The sequence below is a fragment of the Homo sapiens genome, chromosome 5 (genome assembly GCF_000001405.40).
Source record: "Homo sapiens chromosome 5, GRCh38.p14 Primary Assembly".
NCBI lineage: Eukaryota > Metazoa > Chordata > Mammalia > Primates > Hominidae > Homo > Homo sapiens.
In genome coordinates this window covers 53,810,961-53,831,050 of record NC_000005.10, presented here as the reverse complement: position 1 = coordinate 53,831,050, position 20,090 = coordinate 53,810,961, and the positions used below count along the sequence as shown (strand labels likewise).

General features: G+C 42.2%; 1 long non-coding RNA gene across 2 annotated transcripts in view; it reads left to right on the top strand.

Annotated features, from left to right (window-relative positions):
* The first annotated feature begins 11,368 nt into the window (after positions 1–11,368).
* The window catches only part of LINC02105 (long intergenic non-protein coding RNA 2105), a 43,633-nt gene continuing 34,911 nt past the window's right edge, over positions 11,369–20,090 (top strand). Inside the window, exons 1-2 of one of the 2 annotated variants that reach the window (NR_147167.1) lie at positions 11,369–11,495; positions 14,859–14,998. This is a non-coding gene — a long non-coding RNA (long intergenic non-protein coding RNA 2105). The remainder of the gene's footprint in view (positions 11,496–14,858; positions 14,999–20,090) is intronic. The other variant, NR_147168.1, reaches the window with a different exon arrangement.

Here is a 20,090-nt window from a genome sequence, read left to right as displayed (position 1 = left end):
TACAGAAAAAATACATTATAAATGTATAACTAACACTTCAAATTCAAATTGAAGACTTTAAGACTTAACCCCATCAAACCATCACCTATTTACCTTATCTTGCATTAGCAAGTCCTGGTTCTCAATGATACAATATAATTACTCTTTTTCTGCTGGGCACAGTGATATGTGCCTATACTCTCAACTACTCAGGAGGCTGAGGCAGGAGGATTACTGAAGACCAGGAATTCAAGGCTACCCTAGGCAATGTAGCAAGACCCCATCTCTCTCAAAAAAAAAATTATGTACAATTACTCTTTTATTTTATTTCGTAACATATACAGCACTGTCTAAAAATAACAAAACTAATGCTACTACCAACAATATGATTATTAAAAATAGTTTAATATTTTAAAAATTATCTTTGTAATTCTGTTTTTTTTTTTGATGGAGTCTTGCTCTGTTGCCCAGGCTGGAGTGCAGTGGTGCAATCTTGGCTCACTACAAGCTCCGCCTCCCAGGTTCATGCCATTCTCCTGCCTCAGCCTCCTGAGTAGCTGGGACTACAGGCGCCCGCCACCATGCCTGGCTAAATATTTTTTTGTATTTTTAGTAGAGACAGAGTTTCACTGTGTTAGCCAGGATGTTCTCTATCTCCTGACCTTATGATCCACCCGCCTCGACCTCCCAAAGTGCTAGGATTACAGGCGTGAGCCACTGCACCTGGCCTGTAATTCTTTTTTTCCTCAGTGTACATTCCACTCAGGATATACACTAAAATTATTTCATATTGAAATAGTTTTTCTATGTTTAGCTATGCTATGCTACCAGTTTTGTGGACAGTTGGGGTCATTTGTTCTCACTTATTTTCAGTTTTTAGGGATTGTCTTTTATTAATAGGCTTTCTATTTTAGAACACTTTTAGGCTCACAGCAAAATTGATAGGAAGGTACGTAGATTTATCACATATCCTATCCCTACACATGCATAGCCTCTCTCATTATCAATATCTTCCACCAGACTGGTACATTTGTTACAGTTGATGAACATACATTGACACATCATTATCACGTGAATAAGTCTCACGAGATCTGATGGTTTTATATGGGGTTTCCCCTTTCACTTGGCTCTCATTCTCTCTTGCCTGCTACCACGTAAGATATGCCTTTTGCCATGATTCTGAGGTCTCCGCAGCCGTGTGGAACTGTGAGTCCATTAAACCTCTTTTTCTTTATAAATTACCCAGCCTCGAGTATGTCTTTATCAGCAGCATGAAAACAGACCAATAAAGTTTATATTACTGGCTACTCATGCACTCTATTGCTATTCCAACATCTGTGCATTCATATAGACTAAATCCTATGGTAGTAATAAAAACAGCTAACACTAACTGAACTCTTAGTATGTCCTGAACGTTGTTCTAAGCACTATTTCCTCACTTAATTCCTATGCCCAGCCTATGAGATTGACACAATTATGATCCTGCTCTTGCAGATAAGGAAGGAATAGATAAGTAATTTGCCTAAGATAAATATCTAGAAAGTTGTTCTTAGCCATTATATGATACTGCCCTTCCAAGCATACCAAACATCTTGTGACAAATGCCTTGTCATGAGGACTTCCAAAGACCAGCTGATTTTGAATAAATATGTAGGACTAAATATTTTAGAACTATAAAAATAAATGATGTTCTCAATAAAGTGTGATGACAGGTTTTTAAAGCATTGATTTAGATGTGTGAATTTTAATACATCTGTTTGAAAACCAACCACGTTTCTGAATAGTCACACCTTCTATAATAGATTTATTAAATTAAAATGTACAAAAGTGCTCACAGTTGACTTTTTTCACCTGTAAAATTGCAATTTCATATGGTTCCATATAATACTTTTGCCACTATTGAAAAGATGAAGTCTCATCTTTTCTTTTCAGAGATCTGAGCTGTTTGTCAGTCCATCTGATAATCAACCCATTGGTTAACTGTGCCAAATGCCATATCAGTTCTGGGGTCATGAGCCATGCCTCTTAAAAGTTTATGTCTTGGGAAAAGTTACTTCTCTCAGCACTGATTTTATCTATAAGGTAAAAATTTTAATACTTGCCTCATAGAATTATTATGAAGATCAATTGCATAGTGTAAGTTAAAAGTTCAATCATATATGCCAAGTACTTAACAAATGGTGGCTATTTTTATTACTGTTGCTTATTTTACTTCTTTATTAACTAGCATATCACTAGACCATCATTATGGAGATGTTGACTTTATTTCCCCTGAAAGCAATTGGCCCTGTGGTTGGGGAATAAGTGCTGGGATTGCCTTGGTAGGTGACATATGACCTTAAAAAGCCTGCGACTTTTTGTCAGGCTATAGTGTGGTAATGAATTTTCCCAGAAGTCTATGGTATCTGCTTGTCATTTTGCAAGTGTGTGTGTGAGATTCAAGAGCAAGCTTGTAAGCACACAAAAGTTCCCAGATGGCTTTTCAAGGACTTTTGATGTCTGCAATCTTTGATTTGAATGTTCCCCAGAGATCTGAGAGCAGATTTCTTGTATCCTTAAACATGGCTGTACAAAATTGAGCAAATAATTGGCCTAGTTTAGACCATCTTGTTAAATGACAGCTAGATTCATGGCAGCAAGAGCAGCCTCACATCTGATATCATTGACTGAGTCATGATCCACTGGCATTGGGAGCTCTACAAACTTCTCAGGAGAGCCTTGAAAGAGGCTAACCAGGTGTTGACCTGTGGTCAGCTGGAATAAAAGTTTTAATTGAAGAATCTTGCCTGTGAAATGCGTGCCAGGTTTTGTCCTGCTGCAGTCAACTGTCTTGATTCTTGAGCAGTTTTATTAGCTTCACCCATAGCTGTAATGGATTTGAGATGACAGTTTAGGAGCTGCAAATATTGAGGTCCTGGAACACAAACATACAGTAAAGTCAGCCACAGTAAAACAAGACTTAGGGCAACATGACTCCCTCAGCTGGCTTCCTGCAGAGAATGGAGGCCAAAAGGAAAATTATCCTCACCTCTGCATGGTGGGCCCTTAGCCATGGGAGGGAAAGAAGGGTCTGAGTCTTAAGACCTGGAGTGCAACGAAAAGTAGAGTTTGGCTATCAGAGACTACTATTGTGAGAATGGCAGGCACTACAAAACATGAGTGTAGCCTCAATTCAGGGCATGAAATTGCTATTGTTTGCTAATCTTGTCTCAATATTTAAAGAATACTATGCAAGAGGTACATTGCTTATGTTGTATAAAGGGTTAACTAGAGATTCACTTTGGGGGAAAATGTGTTTTAGTTGTTCCGAAGCCTCTTCCGGCTTCTTTACAGCTGTGTTCTAATATAACCTTGGTGCCATCCAAGGCAATAAATAGCAAAGGAGTTGGGGTAAGTCCAGTGATTTTTCCACAGCATCTTTCATTGTAAGTATGCCGGATTTTAAAAAATGAGACTCCATAAACCACATCATCACAGAATCCTGTTGCCATCTCTGGGGGGTTTTGGCATTCCAAATCCTTGCCTTCTTGGACAGTGCATTGATGTGGCCCTGGGGACTGGTTAGAGTGTCTACAACCAATCCTGGCACTGGATCACCTTGTGGCTGAGGTGAAATGGGGATCTCGTTTTCAAAAGGTTGGAGAAGAACTCAGAGGAAAGGATCTGAGAGGAGACCACTGACTCTTTGGAGCTTAGGAGAGATTGACCCTTGACCTTCTCAATCTTCAGACCTTAGAAGCTCCTTGCTAGTCACACATGTTCACATCCATCTTGGCAGCCCGAACCCCCAACGTCCTTGGACATTCCTAGAAGTGTAAAGATCAAATCAGCCCCAGGATGTTGGCAGGATTCAGTGTGTTACTAAAAATGGGCCCTTGTGGATGAAGACTTAAGCATTTTAAGTGAAAAAAGAAAATCAAATTTATGTAATTATTAGTGACTCCAGTGATTTCAGTTGTTCTGAAATGGTTCATTACCAAAGATTGAAACAGGGTCACAGGAACACTGCTTCCCAGTGAGAGAGAAGCGTATCTCTCTGCAGCCCCTATTCCTCCCCTAGTCTCAGCAAAGAGTGACACTGGGGAATACTCCAGAAAACTATTCATGGGGGTTTGGATTTACAAGCTTCATAACTGTTCTCTTAACACTACAACCCACCTTTGCAGTGAGCGATTCAAAGCCACAGCCTCCTAGCTAACTTTGGGTCCTTCCCAAACACTAAATAATGGGATGGGGATAGAAGACAGTTGCTTTTCCAAAGTGCAGAGGCGGGAGGCTGGATGACTGCTCCAGGAGCTGGTCTAGCGCCAGCCCCTGGCTGATACCTGCTCTGGGGCAGCGTGCAGAGGCTAAGGCCTGGACAGAGCTGGGAGGTGGGGGAGCAGTTTTCCGTGACAGCCTCCCTTATTCATGGCTACCCTTCTCTCAGCCAAAACTGTGTTTCCTGGTACCTCTCTCGGGGTTGCAGACGAGGAGCAGTTGGATCATTTGATTAGCTTTTTCCCAGAACAGGGAGCCTCCCATCTCTGTTTACTTCCCAGTGAGTGAAGGAGGAGGCCCAAGAATGGGGCGCCTTCTGGGGCTGCTCCTGAAACAAAAACCACCCCAGAGTCAGCCCTGGTTTTGCTAAATGTGCCACATTTCCCACATCAGGTTGACACCTGCTGACCCTTTCCACCCTCCCTACTGCTGGGGAAAATACTTCCGGGTGGTCCCACTCCAGCTCTCCTCACCGAAAAAGTAAACTTTCTTTGCTCCTCGTAGATCACCTGTTTGGATTTTTGCTTTTGTTTTTAATTGTGGTAAAAATGCGTAACATAAAATTTACCATCTTAACTATTTTTAAGCATAGTTCAGTGTCAACTATAATCACATTGTTGCACATTGGACCTCTGGAACTTTTTCATCTTGCAAAACTGAAACTCTATATTCTCTGAACCACTGCCCATTTCCCTCTCCCTGCAGCCCCTGACAATTACCATTCTACTTTCTGTTTCTATGAGTTTAACTACTTTAGATATCCCATATAAATGTAATCACACAGGATTTGTCTTCTTGTGATTGGCCTATTTCCCTTAGCATAATGTCATCAAGGTTTGTCCATGTTGTAACATGTGACAGCATTTCTTTTGTTTGTAAGACTAAAAACCATTTCATTGTGTGTATATACCACATTTAATTCATTCATTCATCTGTGTATGGAGATTTAGGTTGTTTTCACCTCTTGGCTATTGTGAATAATGCTGTAATGAACATGGATGTGTAAACTTCTCTTTGAGATCCTGCTTTTGATTCTTTTGGATATACACTGGAAGTGAGATTGCTGGATCATAGGGTAATTCTATTTTTAATATTGTGAGGAATCTCCATGCTGTTTTCCATAGCAACTGCACAATTTTACATTGTCTGAGGGTGATTTTGAAGTGCCCTGGGCATAAACTTCAGGCCTTAGGCTTCCACTCTTGGATTCATTTTTGATATCCCTACATTCTTTCCACATCACCTACCCATAGCAATTAGTTGTAGCATGTAACCTTTCTCCAAGGTCAATCCCACAGAGCAGGGAACAAACAGCAGGCCTTACCCTGGTCCCAAGTGTAAGTAAAACATGGACTTTTCACTTCTAATCTGATGCTTCACTGGGTCCTTACCATAACAGGCAAATGCAAGCACTCAGCTCAAACACCCTCCATCCCCACATGGGCCTTTCTGGAGCCTCTAGCACTTCCCTTCATGTGGGGTGAAGTTCCACTGCTCTTTAGTCAGTGTCATTTTCCTGGAACTGGTCAGGACTCCCATCCTCATGCCTACATTAAAGGCAGGCCGGCATCTCTGGCTCTCTTCCCTGTGGTGGCGATAGCTCGTTAAATGCCTCTTGGTCACTTCTGTGAGACAGCCTGGCAGTGGAGGAGGGACTGCGGTTTGCTGGCTGCCCACCCAGGCTGAAGGGCTCTGATCTTTTTACAGAAGAGCCCATCTCTTTTATGCTACAGAAGAAAGAGTCAAGACTTGCAGGGCAATTGTGGGACTGTTTTCTTTTTCCTAACTGGCTCTCGGTGACATGGTTTTCTGGTCTAAGAGCTTATGTCTTTGATGAGATGTGTGTCCCCTCTGCTCCCCCTGGCCCCAACTCAGATGCCCCTTTAGCCAATTCTAACACACGCACGCGCGCGCACACACACACACACACACACACACACACGCACCAAAGGTTCTTGTCCACCCCAGCCTATGGTTTGCTTTCCAATCATTCATTCTATTCCCAGCTTCTGGCTTGGAATTTGGGCCTCCAAAAAGGAAATAAAAGGTACAATTCCTCAAGATTAGCTACCAATTTTTTTCATTCTATTTTATGTTCACCTTATTTACCAAAGTCACTGCTGGCTTTATATGCAAGTAGAGAAGTTTTCAGAGCAATTAGACTGCCACAAAATAGCTCCTTTCCAATTTGCATTGGAGCAAAAAGCCAACATTAGATAATCATTTCTTTGGTTTTGAATTGCCCTTTCTAGTTTTTTTAAAAAATGCGAATACACCTACTAGGAGTAACAAATTGCCACTAACCCTTCACTATAATTTAGTTTGTCAGATGGCTTCCTTCTGGGGCAAGTGGGTAGGGCAATGTGAGGGCTTGAATGGGAGAAAAACACAAAAAGTGGAGTTGGGGGAAACATTAACAAATTCCACTTATTTCCCAATTTTTCCTAAGATCAGCTTTGTATATGTTTCAGCTAGAATCTCATGAATCTGTGTATTTCAGCACTTGCCTATTTTAGGAAAAATTGAGCAAGTTAGCCAAATCGTTCTTGATGTCTTGATTTTACAGGCTGGTACCATGTTATGAAATGCTGTAAGGAAGGGAGGCATCCCTGAATTTATCTTTTGTCTCTTGTTTAAGTCCATATGGATCCCATGTGACTTCAAAGTATGGAGGCCATGTTGACTGGTTTTTTTTATTTTTTGGGGGATATTTTTCCTTTAATGTGTTGGTCTAATTAGAGAAGGAAAAAATCAATATTTGGATTTGAAAGTTACATACAGAGGAGAAATTGGCCCATAAACTGTGGAGGGAATAGATGAGCTCTAAAATCATCAAGAAGATAGTTCCTGGTATTAGTTCAGATACTTTTGGATGAAAGAAATATAAATCAATCTGAGCTAGCTTAAGCAAAATGTGGGGGGTGGTATAAGGATAACGGGTATCTCATGGAGCCCAAGAGCAGGAATAGCTTGTCAGCAACCCAGGAGCGAAGTCGGCCTCTCGTTTCTGCTGCTCTCAGAACATCTGCTTTTCCTTTTCTCTCTCTCTGCAGACCAGCTTTCTCTGGTTCTCTGGTCACATTGCAGAATGTGGTTGCCCCAAGGCTCCTAGATCAACATATTGTCTTCCCAGTCACATGAAGATTAATTAGCTATTAATTAGTCCTAGTTCTTGGGAGAAGGAACCTGAATCAGGGTCTACAGTGGCCTAATGAACTATAAACGAAGGGCAGTTGTCACAATCTATAAATGTGGGTGTTGGGGGCTTACCCTGGGCATCAGAGATACTTTTTCAGAGAAGCATGGTCCACATGCTGAGCTTTCAAAAGAAAATGAGCCATAGTTTTCTGTGTTTACTGTTTGTAACTTGAATGTCCCCAGGTCTTGTCAGCTATGGGCACAAATAGTCATGTCATGCTCATAACACCAGAGTAATAGGGGACCTCAGACTTCACACAAGTGCTGCCATGGGTTTTATATTATTTTATTTTCATTTATTTTTTTGAGACAGGGTCTCACTCTGTCCCCCAGGTTGGAGTGCAGTGGCATGATCTTAGCTCACTGCAACCTCTGCCTCGTGGGCTTAAGTGATCTTCCCATCTCAGCCTCCTGAGTAGCTAAAACTATAGGCGCATGCCACCAGGCGTGGCTTTTTTTTTTTTTTTTTTTTTTTGCCACATTGCCCATGCTGGTCTTGAACTCTTGGGCTCAAGCAATCCTCCTGCCTTGGCCTCCCAAAGTGCTAGGATTACAGACATGAGGCACGGTGCCCAGCCAGACCAGGAGTTTTCTTCAGTGTTCCTCCAAGCTCATGAATGGTCCACTCCAACTGAGTTCACCATCTCTTACCAGATACCTCAGTTCCCCACCAGGTATTACAGTCTTTGCCACTATTCTGCTGGGCACCAACCACAACAACAAGCCAAGTTTGATCCTTCACTAAGGGTGGCCATATATTTCTAGCTTATGCCCGTTGTCCTCATATAATTGTTAATTGTTAATAGCACCCTCTTTTATTCTCAGAGAAGCATAAGTTTTACAATAGTCAGAGGCAAGGAGGTTTTTGTGAATCCTCTGTTAGAGAAGCTCCCAAATGGCACAGTTTGTGTTCTCAACATTTTATACAGGGGCAGAGAAACCCAATTTTAAATTTAGAAACCTAAATTAACCAAAGGGAAGGCTATTGATTGATTGATATAACCAAAGTAGGGAAAAGGCAGTGGGTAGAGCGTTTCAGCAACCACTGGATTCAGAATCTCAAGTGTTAGAGAACTCACTTCTTCTCTCTTCGTTTCCTTTTTTTGTTGTTGTTGTTGTTTTGTCTCTGTTTCTCTGTGTTAAACTTATTCCCTTAGACTTGCCCCTATGAAGCTGGAAGCTTCAACACTAACACCAGTCCTAGGCCTACATCCTCAAAGCTTCAGAACCACAAAACTCAGAGGGCTCTTAAAGGGAATATCTTAGGAAAGAGCCTATTGACTATGGTTCGGTCGTATGCCCATCACTGGACCATTCACTGTGGCCAAAGCATTAGGAACTATGGTTGGCAGCCCCATCAGAATCCTACTAAAAAGAGGACAGTGCTGTTCCAGGCAAACAAAGCAACAAATGCCCACCACATAGAGCTCTTTCAGTGTTTAACCATCAGCCAATTTTCTCCAGAAGTGAGACCTGAGTCCAGTTGGGGAATGTCATAAAATAAAAGCAGTATGTGGTCCAACATTCCTCCTTCCCATTCTACAACTAGGATTTTTCTGACTGAGGCAAACTCTTCCTGATCCTTGATCCCTTCACTCATCCTATAGGGTCCACAGTTCTTACGCACGTTGGCTTGGTTAGGCTGCCCTAGCTGTTCACTGGACCCCCAGTGGTGGGCATAGCTTAGGCACAAGCTTAAAGATATCATTATATATATTAGCAAAACCAAACAGGATTAGGGAAACATGTACATTACATCCCGGACAAATCCTGAGTAGGTTCTTGAAATTAAACCATATGACTTCTTAGACCTACAGTTTGCATTCTGAAGACAAGCCAGTGGGATTCATACTCAGGGTAAGAAACCCTCCCCCGTGTGTGTGTGTGTGTGTGTGTGTGTGTGTGTGTGTGTGTGTGTGTGTATGTAAACCAGGATGCAAATGGTACATTTATTGGCTTCAGGCCCAAATGTTATTCACAGAAAAGAAAAGCTGATTCCTGCTCTGATATAAACTTGAACATTATTTTTCTGTTCATGGAAAATTCTATTTTTCTTTAGCATTGTTACTTAACCAAAAGACTTTTAGAAAATTGCAGCAGTGCTTTGAAGCACTCCGTGAAGTTGAGCTATTTCAGGCCTGTTCCAGAATAGGTTGTATGCCCATGTGGGTTTCCATATCTGCAGTGGATCTTCCATATCTGCAGTGGTGTTTTGGTTGACATTTAGGATCTTTTCAAGCTCATGGTTTTCATGAGTACACAGATGAAGCCAATTCACTTTGTGAAATCCACCTAGTTTAAAATTCCTTTCATCTCCTCTCAAACATATTTGAGAAAGTCATTACAAATCAAGAGACCAATGTGAAGCTTAAAATGCATTTTCTTAAATGTCCTTCAAAAAGAGATTATGTTTTGGACATAATGTTTTGGACTAAACCAGGAGGTGAACTGCTGAGCATCCAGAAGTTTCTAGAGGGTACAGCATTGTAGGTTTGTTATGTTTGGAAAACAGTGGCCTGGACTATTTGTATGCAGGCGGGGATATCCCCTTACTGGGGAGTGAGCACTCATCCTCAAAGCCATTTGCATGTTCTGCACCTTTCTGAACCCTTCCCAGTGCCAAGTCCAAAATGAGTCATGAGACTGACTGCATGCACCATATGGTAAACCTGAGAACCATCCCTCTACTGAAGGACGCACACCAGGGCATGATTTGTTTAAGGCTACACAACTTCTGCCGAAAGATGACTTTGCCACAGCTTTTAAACATATGATGCAAGTTTTGTGCTGTGAAAAGTCCCCACTTACAGTTTAAGTATTTTTGTTCAGAGGAATAAAAGAAAACAAATACGTAAGTCCTAATACAGGGCCTGTTTATAGCAATGGATCAGGCAGATCTCACTTCCCTTACTACATCCCTGACTGCTTCTAGCTGCATTAATTAGCTTAAAGGGGCTTCAGGGCTACTTGGTAATGAAAACAGCCATACCTTATGCAATTAATTATATAGAACAGTTACTTAGCTTCCATTTTTCTGCACCCCTCATGGTACTGACTTTCCACTTTCTGTTTTCATTTTTAGAAAATAAGTTGCTATGAAACTTACATCTATTGACTTTGAGGATGCTTCTAGAAAATCATTTGAATATTTTTAAAACCAAAGATTTCTATATTTCTGCTAACTTTTTAAAGAGGAGCCCAAGTCTGAGAGACACAGAAACCCAACTCTAATTATATCTGTGGTGCCTGGGAGACATCCCCAGCTTAGATGAGTAAATGTGAAAAGAGAAAACAATCATAGGCAATTAGCTGGGTCTTGGCTTAATGTCAGCAATGTATCCACTGTGAACCTCAAGCCCTCCCTGCTCTGTGGGCACCAGTCTCCCTCCCTCCCTTCCTCCCCTCAGCCACAGTTCCATTTAGCAAAGCAGAGAGGGCCTTGGACTCGTATTGTTACCCTGGAATTAGGCTAGACAATATTTTCCAGTGACTTCTTAAAAGTCTGTCCCTTCTTCTGGTCCCCTCCCCATGCATATCTCCCCCCCACCACAAACCCACGACTTGTTAAGTCATTTTACTGGAAAACTGCTTGGCACCTAGCACTTCTTCTTTCAATTACAGCCCCTTTTGAAGGTCTCATTGGCCCACACAGAATGCCACTGGCCGAGTGTAAATGCCAGAGAAATATATTTCTTTTAAAACACTCCACATTTCTACTGCAAATAGGAACCCTCCCCAAGTCCATCACATCTGATAACCACTGTCAGGCTAGACAGTGGACTCATGGTGCTCTCAGGGCGACCTCACAGGGGCTTGGCCGTGGCACTGAGGGGAGAGCCTGATTGGCTGGCTGTTTCATTGCCAGATCTCTGAAGGCCAATCAGGATTTGTAGCTCAGCCACCTGCTTTCTGAGGAGCACTGAGCAAGATGGCCACCTCCTGGTGGTAAGTCTCGCTCCTGGAGTTCCCATCTTGACCCTACAGCGGGACATTTTGCCGCCACCTCTTTGTGTGTTGGGAAGATGACGTCCTTTCTGCTCGTCCTGCTTCTCTGATTGGTGAGTTTGGGATGGAGAAATGGACACGTTCAGTTCAACCCCTTCCATTCTCACTTTCCAAGAAGCAAGGTTTCTCTGTCTCTGGAAGTTTTCTGGGACTGGACTTTGTCTTGGCAAAGGGAGAGGCTGCAATTTGGTTGGGAAATGTTAAGTAGGGCTGTGTGAGAAATCTTAGGTGCAGACTGGGGCTCTTCATCTAGCTTTATCAGCAATAGAGCAGACATTCTTGGCCCCAGCTTACAGCTCCAGCCTCTCTTGTCTACCTGTCAACTGCTTTGGGGCTTGGAGCAGAAAAGCAGGGAAGTAATTAATTGTCACCCTCTAACTCCAGCACTGCCCTCAGGAATGAAGAGAGGAGCCAGGGAACTCCTGCGGGAATTCCCTGAGAAGACCACAGGACTATAAAATATAATGAAGTGATGTGAGAAAAAATTGATAAACCAGCTTGGAGATTAAGGATGAAACTCAAGGATACAGGAAAGCTGAATCTCATGTTTTTCTCTTAGGAAATTCCTCTCAACTTGTGAAACAGGAAGACCGAGGGTTTCTCCTGGAGTTGTTTAAAGAGTGGCACTTTACAGAATTAGTTTCATGAAGCTTGTGAAAGGGAATCATCTGTCTAGTGCACCATCAAGTCATTATTAGAGTTTTCTTAGAATACTACCCAGGCACTGGTAGAAATTGATTTACACAAGTGTTCTTGTTGCACTTGAAGCAGAATTAGGAATTTAGCTAAAATCTTTCAGATACAAGAGATTAGACCTGCAAGAGAGGTAAGAGAATTTGGTGGAAGGTGGAAGCAGAGAGCATCCTTACTAATTTTAAGAGCTCACCCAAGACCAGTAGTTTTCCATCCATTAGAATCACCTAAGGAATTGCTGAACAATTCCAATATTTGGGTTCCTTCCCACATCATTCAAACCAGACACTCTGGTGATGGGCCAAGGAGTCAGTATTGTTAAAAACTGCCCAGGTGATTCTGTCTGGTGTGCAGCTGGGACTGAAAAACAGTATCCTGGTGGGCTAAGGAAGCACTGGTCATCTGTCCCTTGCCTTTGGGAGCAGCCACAGGTGATGGTGATGATGGTGGTGGTGGTGGTGAGTGGGGAATTTACATACTCTTTCTTCCCTAATGAATCTAAACTCTGCTACTTGAAGGGTGGTCCCTGGACTAGCTGCATCATCACTTAGGGCCTTGTTCAAAAATGCAGAATTTGGGGCCCCACCCTAGACCTAGACCTATTGAATTAGAACTGTAGTGGGGAAATGTTTCTTGAACTTTAATGTGCATAGGAAACACCTGGGATCTTGTTAAAATGCAGATTCTGTTTCAGTAGGTCTGGGGTGTAGTCCAAGGTCCTGCCTTTCTAACAATCTCCCAAGTGATTCCAGTGTTTCCAGTCCATGGACCACACTTTGAGCAGCAAGGCAGCTGAGGCCTTGGAGCAACCACAAATGGAAGTTGCTCGAAGAGCAGTGCTCCAGCTTTGGACTGCTCTGTAGGAATGGTGCTGAAAATGTTGCATGGTGCATCTTCAGGGACATAACAGACGCTGAAGATTTTATAGGAGTGGCTGCCATTCCCAGAACAGCCAATAGTAATTACCATCATCAGGAGATGCTGTTGCTGGGAACTTCCAGGAACTGCCAATTGGAGCTGGCACCAAAGGAAACTGCAATGGGAGAATCGAGTTAACAAGACTGCTTAGCAAGTTGGAACCCTCTCTGTATTCCAGCCCAAGTCACACTTGAGAATGAGGGAATTGGCTGTTCTTAATCACTTGCTATCTGGAGGAGAGAACCAGTCTTTCCATATACTTCACACTGAAATTAGAAAATAATTTTTCATCAAGATTCCTCTTGGGGCTTATGTATTCCTTTACTCCACAGATATTTTTGAGGACCTACTTTGTACCACGTAGTATGCTAAGACTTAGATTTGAATGTCTAGAAACTGAGTGAGGCTCCAGCCAGCAGTAGACACCTAGAACTGCAACTCAACTCTCATTGGAGAGGACACTGTGGCTTGAGAGAAGGTTATATTGGGATAGTGTCCATAAACATCTTAGCTATTATATAAACCTTGGGCCTAACATCAGTTGATGTCAATTTCAGAAATAAGACCATATATGATTCATTTGGAATCAGGCACTGGAAAAGCCAATGCTATTACTGGAAGGAATTTGACACCACTGAGCTACCCTAGGATAAAGGCTAAGTACACAATATTTTGCAATGAAATAGCAGCCATAGAAGATACTGTATGACTGCACTGGGGGTTTAGTACTATAACCAATTTGAGAATTTGGGAATGATTTGGTTCTGGGCAGGGAATATAAGTGGGAGCTTGAACCATGGGCTGTATTCCTCCTCCCCATATGGAAAGACTTGCCTGTATCATTCAGGATGTCCTTTCCCATCCTGCCCTTTAAACCAGTGTGCTCAGAAGAGGTATTGCTGGCCTCCAGAGACCTCAGACACCCTGCAGACAGTGTTTCTTATGACTTTTATAAGGCCAAGGGCTTCCTATTTGAAGAGCTATGCTCACCTGTTGTGAAGGCAGGAAGACATCTCAGTCAATATGTACTCTAGTGACCCAGAAACAGGGGAATGTCAAACAACAAAAAAATTGCTGATCAGGAGTTCTGAAACCTCAGCTGACCTTGGAACCCAGTGGGAACTCATTAGCAGTAGTGACCAGAAACCCTAAGGGGAAGCCATTATAATCCTCACCCCACCCCCCACCTCACCCTGGAAAGGTGTGTTAGAGTCCACAGCTCACCAATGTTAAATGACTCAAATAAAGTTACAGGGTAGTAGAAACAAGTGGAGAAGAACAAAGGTTTTCTGACTTCTAGTACCAGGGAAATTAGAAATGGTTAAGAAACAGAGAAACTGCAGAAGAAAAAGACCTGTCATTATAGTTGGGGGTGTGTGTGCAAAAGGAAATATGTAATCATCTCAATCTGAGGGACCTCCATGTGTGGGCACATACAACAGACTGTGAGAAGTTACAAAGGAGATGGAAGACCAAATGAGTGTGCAATATAACTGGAAATAGGACAGATATAATGGAAATACACAATAACATAAGTCACATAAGCACAAAATATATACCTAAGTGATGACAGCTGTATAAGGAGCCAGGTGGCATGGGGGAGAGAAGGAGGCTCGGGGAGGTAATTGGAAAAGTGTGTGGGTAGAAAAGAAATTGATAGAAAGCAGCAGTATTTGCATCTACCTGAGGAAAGGCACTTGCTGCTGAGGCAGGTTTAAGTAAGTTCCCTGGGGCAAAGAAAGAGTCTTCCAAAGAGCTCTGAGGTTCTAGGACTAGAGGAAGTAGAGCATGAAATTTCCTTCCAGGGACAGTCTGGTTTGAAAGGGAGGAGGAGAAATAAGAGAAAGCTCCGTGGTAATATACAAGACGAAAGGAAAAGAAAGACAAGTAAAAGGAATGATCTGCAACCACCTGGATATTGGAGCACAATTGTGAGAACAACTGGGTAAGAAGAGTCCATTTTCTTACCCTCCTTTTTCCCCCCTTTCCAAAGCATCCTATATTCCATTTTGGATTATTCTTGATAAGTTTCGTTTCCTATGGAATGTGCTACCTATCTATTAGCAACTGATGCTACCTCTCTTAGCTTCCAACTTGATAAAGAGGCATTATTAATATAGCTGCTGGATCCAAATTGAAGGGAAGGAATAATCTAGCAAAATATCCACAAATTAGCTGCACTTTCTTTTGTAACATAAGGCAGCTGTATTCACTCACCTGAGATGGGGTGGAAGATCTCACACACTGTTCTCTGCTTTCCTTTTCTGCTTTGTTCAGAGACACAAGATGTAGGCACCCTGCTGAGCATGGAACTCCTGGCTGCCTCCTCCACCTCAACATATGCTTGTTCAGGTAGAGCCCAGCTAGGGACTGACAGTGGTAGAGCATTGCTGATTTAGGTTCCTCACGTAAAGCACTGTAGACAAGGGCAGAGACAAAAATCTCTGGTAGTGTGCTTGCGGGGGATCTGAGTTTTTAATGTATTTGATTGGTTTAGCATGTCAAAGATCAAGTCTTGAAAGTAGGAGAGAAAAATTATATGTCTTTCCAGCAGAGCCAATGTAATGCTTGCCTGCGAGTAACCAGGAATTGTGCTATATGCTGTGCACATCTGTCTCACAGACCTAAGGTAACGGAACCTGCAATCCAGTGGACCATGGAACTGCTTGAGTTCTGGGCACCATCTGTGCCAGCATAGCCTGCTGAATCTCAGTATCTCTCAGGAGGGGGCCAGAAATCAATCTCACACATTCCCCAGATAATTCTGATACCTTTAGAACTACGACTTAGAGGGACTGCATAATAATAGAAATGACTTACTGGAAGGATAAATTTTTAGAAAATAGTTAAATTCATTTTTAGAAAATAGCATCCTCAATAATACATGACCTTAATGAAACAGAAACAGAAAGCCATAGATGGGAACATTGTGAAGTGAAGGGCTAACAATACAACAACTATACCACATGATACAACATAAAAATGAAAATGTTGAGAAGAAAGGGAAGTGGGAGTGGTAAAATAGGACTGCAAGGAAACAATACTTGGAGTAGCACAATTTAAATCTGCATCAGCGTCATAAACAGCAGAACTAACAGGGTAGAATTTAAATCAGTAATGTGGAGGATAAGCCTAGAAATTGTTCCAGAAGATAGTGAAAAGCAGGGGAAAAGAAATATGTTAAAATGAATAAAGAAATGGTGGGTAAGAAACTATTATTCAAAGGATACAGAGAGCCAACCAAGAACTGCAGATTTCTTTTATTAAAAAAACCCTAGAGTAGTTAGTTAATTGCTTCTCAGCCTTTGGGCTAAGATTAAGTGTATAAACTAGAGTAGTTAGAACAGAAGTGATAATCATGATGAAAAAGAATTTTTCAGGGAAGAAAAAAGATCCTGGATTCATAGATGAAAAGAGCCCCTTGGTTCAGCCAAAGAATATTCTGGAAAAAAAAAAAACTAGCAAAACCTTGAATTACAAGGATAAGTGAATAAATCTGCATGCATCTAGCCAGAAAAATATAACCACAAATGAACAAAATCAGAGAAACTTTCAACTTGTTTATGCAACTGTAAATGCCAGAAAAATAATGGTGCTGTGTTTACAAGATGTTGAAGGGAAAATTTATAAACTAAGAATATTATACACATTGTTTTTCATCTGTTAAGGCAACAGAAGTACATTTCTAGACAAAGATTTCAAAAATACACCTCCTATGTATTTCATCTTGAAAAAATTATTTGAGGATGTACCCTGGCTAATTGATGAATCAAAATTAAGATCCCGAGAAGAAAGAAGTAAATCTTAGTATAACTAAGACTGGCAGGGAGAATTGAAAATGGCAAAGCAAAAAGTTAAAATCTATATAATTGTAAATAAGTTGAAGCCTGTTGGTCAATTCCACTCCAAACAATATTGTCTTCAGTTGCATGGGCTCCGGTATACTAAATAATGCAAATTAGTTCTCCCTAAACTGTAAGCTGGGAGAGGGCAAGGGCCATGCCATCTTATTCACCACTTTGTCTCCAGTGTCCCTTCCTAGCTTGTGGTGATGCTTATTAAACATTTATTGGACTTTCTACATGAGTATTCTTTTAAACTTCTCTCAGCAGACAGGCCTTATGAATTCTATAATAACATTCTAGCTGGGAGATGGAAGATTTTGGACAACAAAATGAAGGAAGAGAAATATCACAAAACTTTCAGAGGAGAGAGCAAACTCCCCCACCGAGCCAAGTCATCTTGCCCTCTTTTCTTCATCAGGAAAGAGGCAGTAGTTCTGAGAGACCAAAAAAGTCATGTGCCTGTTTTTATAGGCACCAAGAAGTAGTAAGTTCTAGTTCCATTCCTCTGAAGATAGGGGTGGGAAGAGTCCAGCCTGTCTCTAAATAGGACAGCTATCAAGCCTCTGGCTGTTTCTCAGCTTCTGAAAGGCCTTGGGGCATAGGGGAAGTGTAGAGGGTGTGTCCTGGGCCCAGAGTGGTCCAGGGAGTGGCATACTCCTTTCCCACAGACTCTAAGATCCCATTCCTCAACTACCTGTCAACAGGTTCAAGGTCATAAATTCTTGGCAGTTTCTGGAAAACAAAGCCCCGTATCCTGGAGGAAGTGAGGTGGCTAGGTGTAAGTGATGTTATGTGTGGAATAATTTTCACCATATTTTTCAGCGAGGTATGCTTACAAATGGTCTTCATACTAAGAGTTGGAGCCCAAACCTAGAAACCAGGGAAGAGGAAAGATATGTGTATGTGTAGAAGGGATGGGGCAAGAAGTAACAGTCATGCGTGTACCTTTCCCTCAGTGCACTAAAAGAAATGCATTCAGGGAGCCGAGGAGAAATAGGGACAGCCAGGCCCAGGCTGTGAGCAGGTTCAGGGAGTCTCACTTAAACGCAGTTAAGCCGTAGTTGCCTTCCACACCTGATTTCACTTGGTCAGAACAAGCAGTCTCACAGAAGCAACTCCACTCCATGAATTAACTTACAGGGATTTATCAAGCATGTATCAAATATGGGACATTTCCATACCGGGAACTAAGGGCAAAGACACAATTCCTTGTTTTTATATGGCTTTGTCTATTAAGATGTAGGAGTGGCCATCTTCACCTTATTCAGTTAAAAGAATGACTTCTTTTTATTCTTAAAGACTTCATCTAGATGTTTTCTCTTTGTGGTCGCTCCTGACCTCCAGTCCCTCTGTTGAGCCCTCCTAGATTATTGTAAGGATGTAGGTGGAAGTGAATAAACTTGAAAAGGTGTGCCAGGCCTCAGGAGTCCTTGGAGAGAGACATGGAGGCTTGTGTTAAAAGTTTGTTAGAAGGTTTTCACTTTGAAGTTGAGAAATTCAGGCCAGTGAGCCAAGGCATGAGAGATGTAACCAGGTTTTGTTCCTGGGGGTTCAAAGCCAAGGGCAGCTGATGAAGTGACAGAACTGGCTCAGAAATCTGAGCAGCAGCAGCTTGAAGGTACTTAGATGGGTGGGAAAGTGGGACTCAACTGAGGTACCAAGGGGCCCCTCTGCAACGCACTAACTCTCTCAGTAACCACTATGGTCTATCCTTTTAAAACAACACAAATTTAATGTCTTTATATTAAAGCTAAGATTCAGCCTAGAAGCTGAAGTTTGATATTGAGGATGAATGCCACTTAGTGCAGTAGTTAGTTTGTTTGTGTGCGTGTGTTTTTTTTTTTTTTTTTTTTTTTTTTTGAGATGGAGTTTCGCTGTATCACCAGGCTGGAGTGCAATGGTGCAATCTTGGCTCACTGCAACCTCTGACTCCCTGGTTCAGGCGATTCTCCTGCCTCAGCCTCCTGAGTAGGTGGGATTATAGGCACACACCACCACGCCCAGCTAATTTTTGTATTTTTAGTAGAAATGGGGTTTCACCATGTTGGCCGGGATGGTCTTGATCTCCTGACCTTGTGATCCACCTGCCTCGGCCTTCCAAAATGTTGGGATTACCGGCGTGAGCCACCGCACCCGGCCCAGTGCAGTGGTTCTTAATCCTGAAGACATATTAGAATAATCTGAGACATTAAAAAAAATACCAATCCCTGGGCCCACCCCAAACTAAATAATTCAAATCTCTGGGCATGCAGACTGGGTATTGGTATATTTTTAAAACACTCCCTGGCTGACTCTAATCTCCAAAACTCTAACGGAAGAGAATTCGGAGGCAAGTAGGGGGCCTTGCTGCAAAATGTGGTCTGCACATCAACATCACAGGGAGGCTTGATGGAAATACAACCTCTCAGGCCCCATACCAGACCTACTGGATTAGAATCTGCATCTTAACAATGTCCTCAGAGCATTTGTAGGTACTTTGAGTATCACGATAGAGGAATACTCTGCAATGTTTCAGCAATGACTTGTTAAAATACCCCAGAATCAGAGAGCTAGAATTGATTTTAGTCACTGACTTCAGAGATCCCAATGTCCCCACAGGAATCAGGCAGAACAGTGAGAGTTAGGCAGGCATGCCACCCCAGCGGATCACATGGGCCTCAAAGACTCTAAACAAAGCGAAAGAAGGTAGGGAGTAGAGAAGACAGGGGGAGAGCACACAGCCCCACTAGAGAGGGAATCTGACTCCGCTCCAGCTTTGATTAGTTTCTCTGTGAAATTTCCTGGTTTTTAAATGTTGGCAACTAATTCATGTTTTAGAAGTTTTTTCTATAGGTGTGATGGTTAATTTTAGATGTGATCTTACTGGGTTAAGGGATACCCAGGTGATATGATTTGGATTTGTGTCTCCAGCCCAGTGTTGGTGGAGGGACCTGGTGGGAGGTGATTGGATCGTGGCGGCGGACTTCCCCCTTGCGACACTCATTAGAGTGTGTTCCTTCTCACGAGATCTGGTTATTTTAAAGTATGTAGCACCTCCCCCTTCTCTCTCTTACTCCTGCTCTGGCCATGTAAGGTGCATTTGATTTGCCTTCTGCCATGATTGAAAGTTTTCTGAGACCTCCAGCCATGCTTCCTGTACAGCCTGCAGAACTGTGAATCAATTAAACCTCTTTCTTTATAAATTACCCAGTT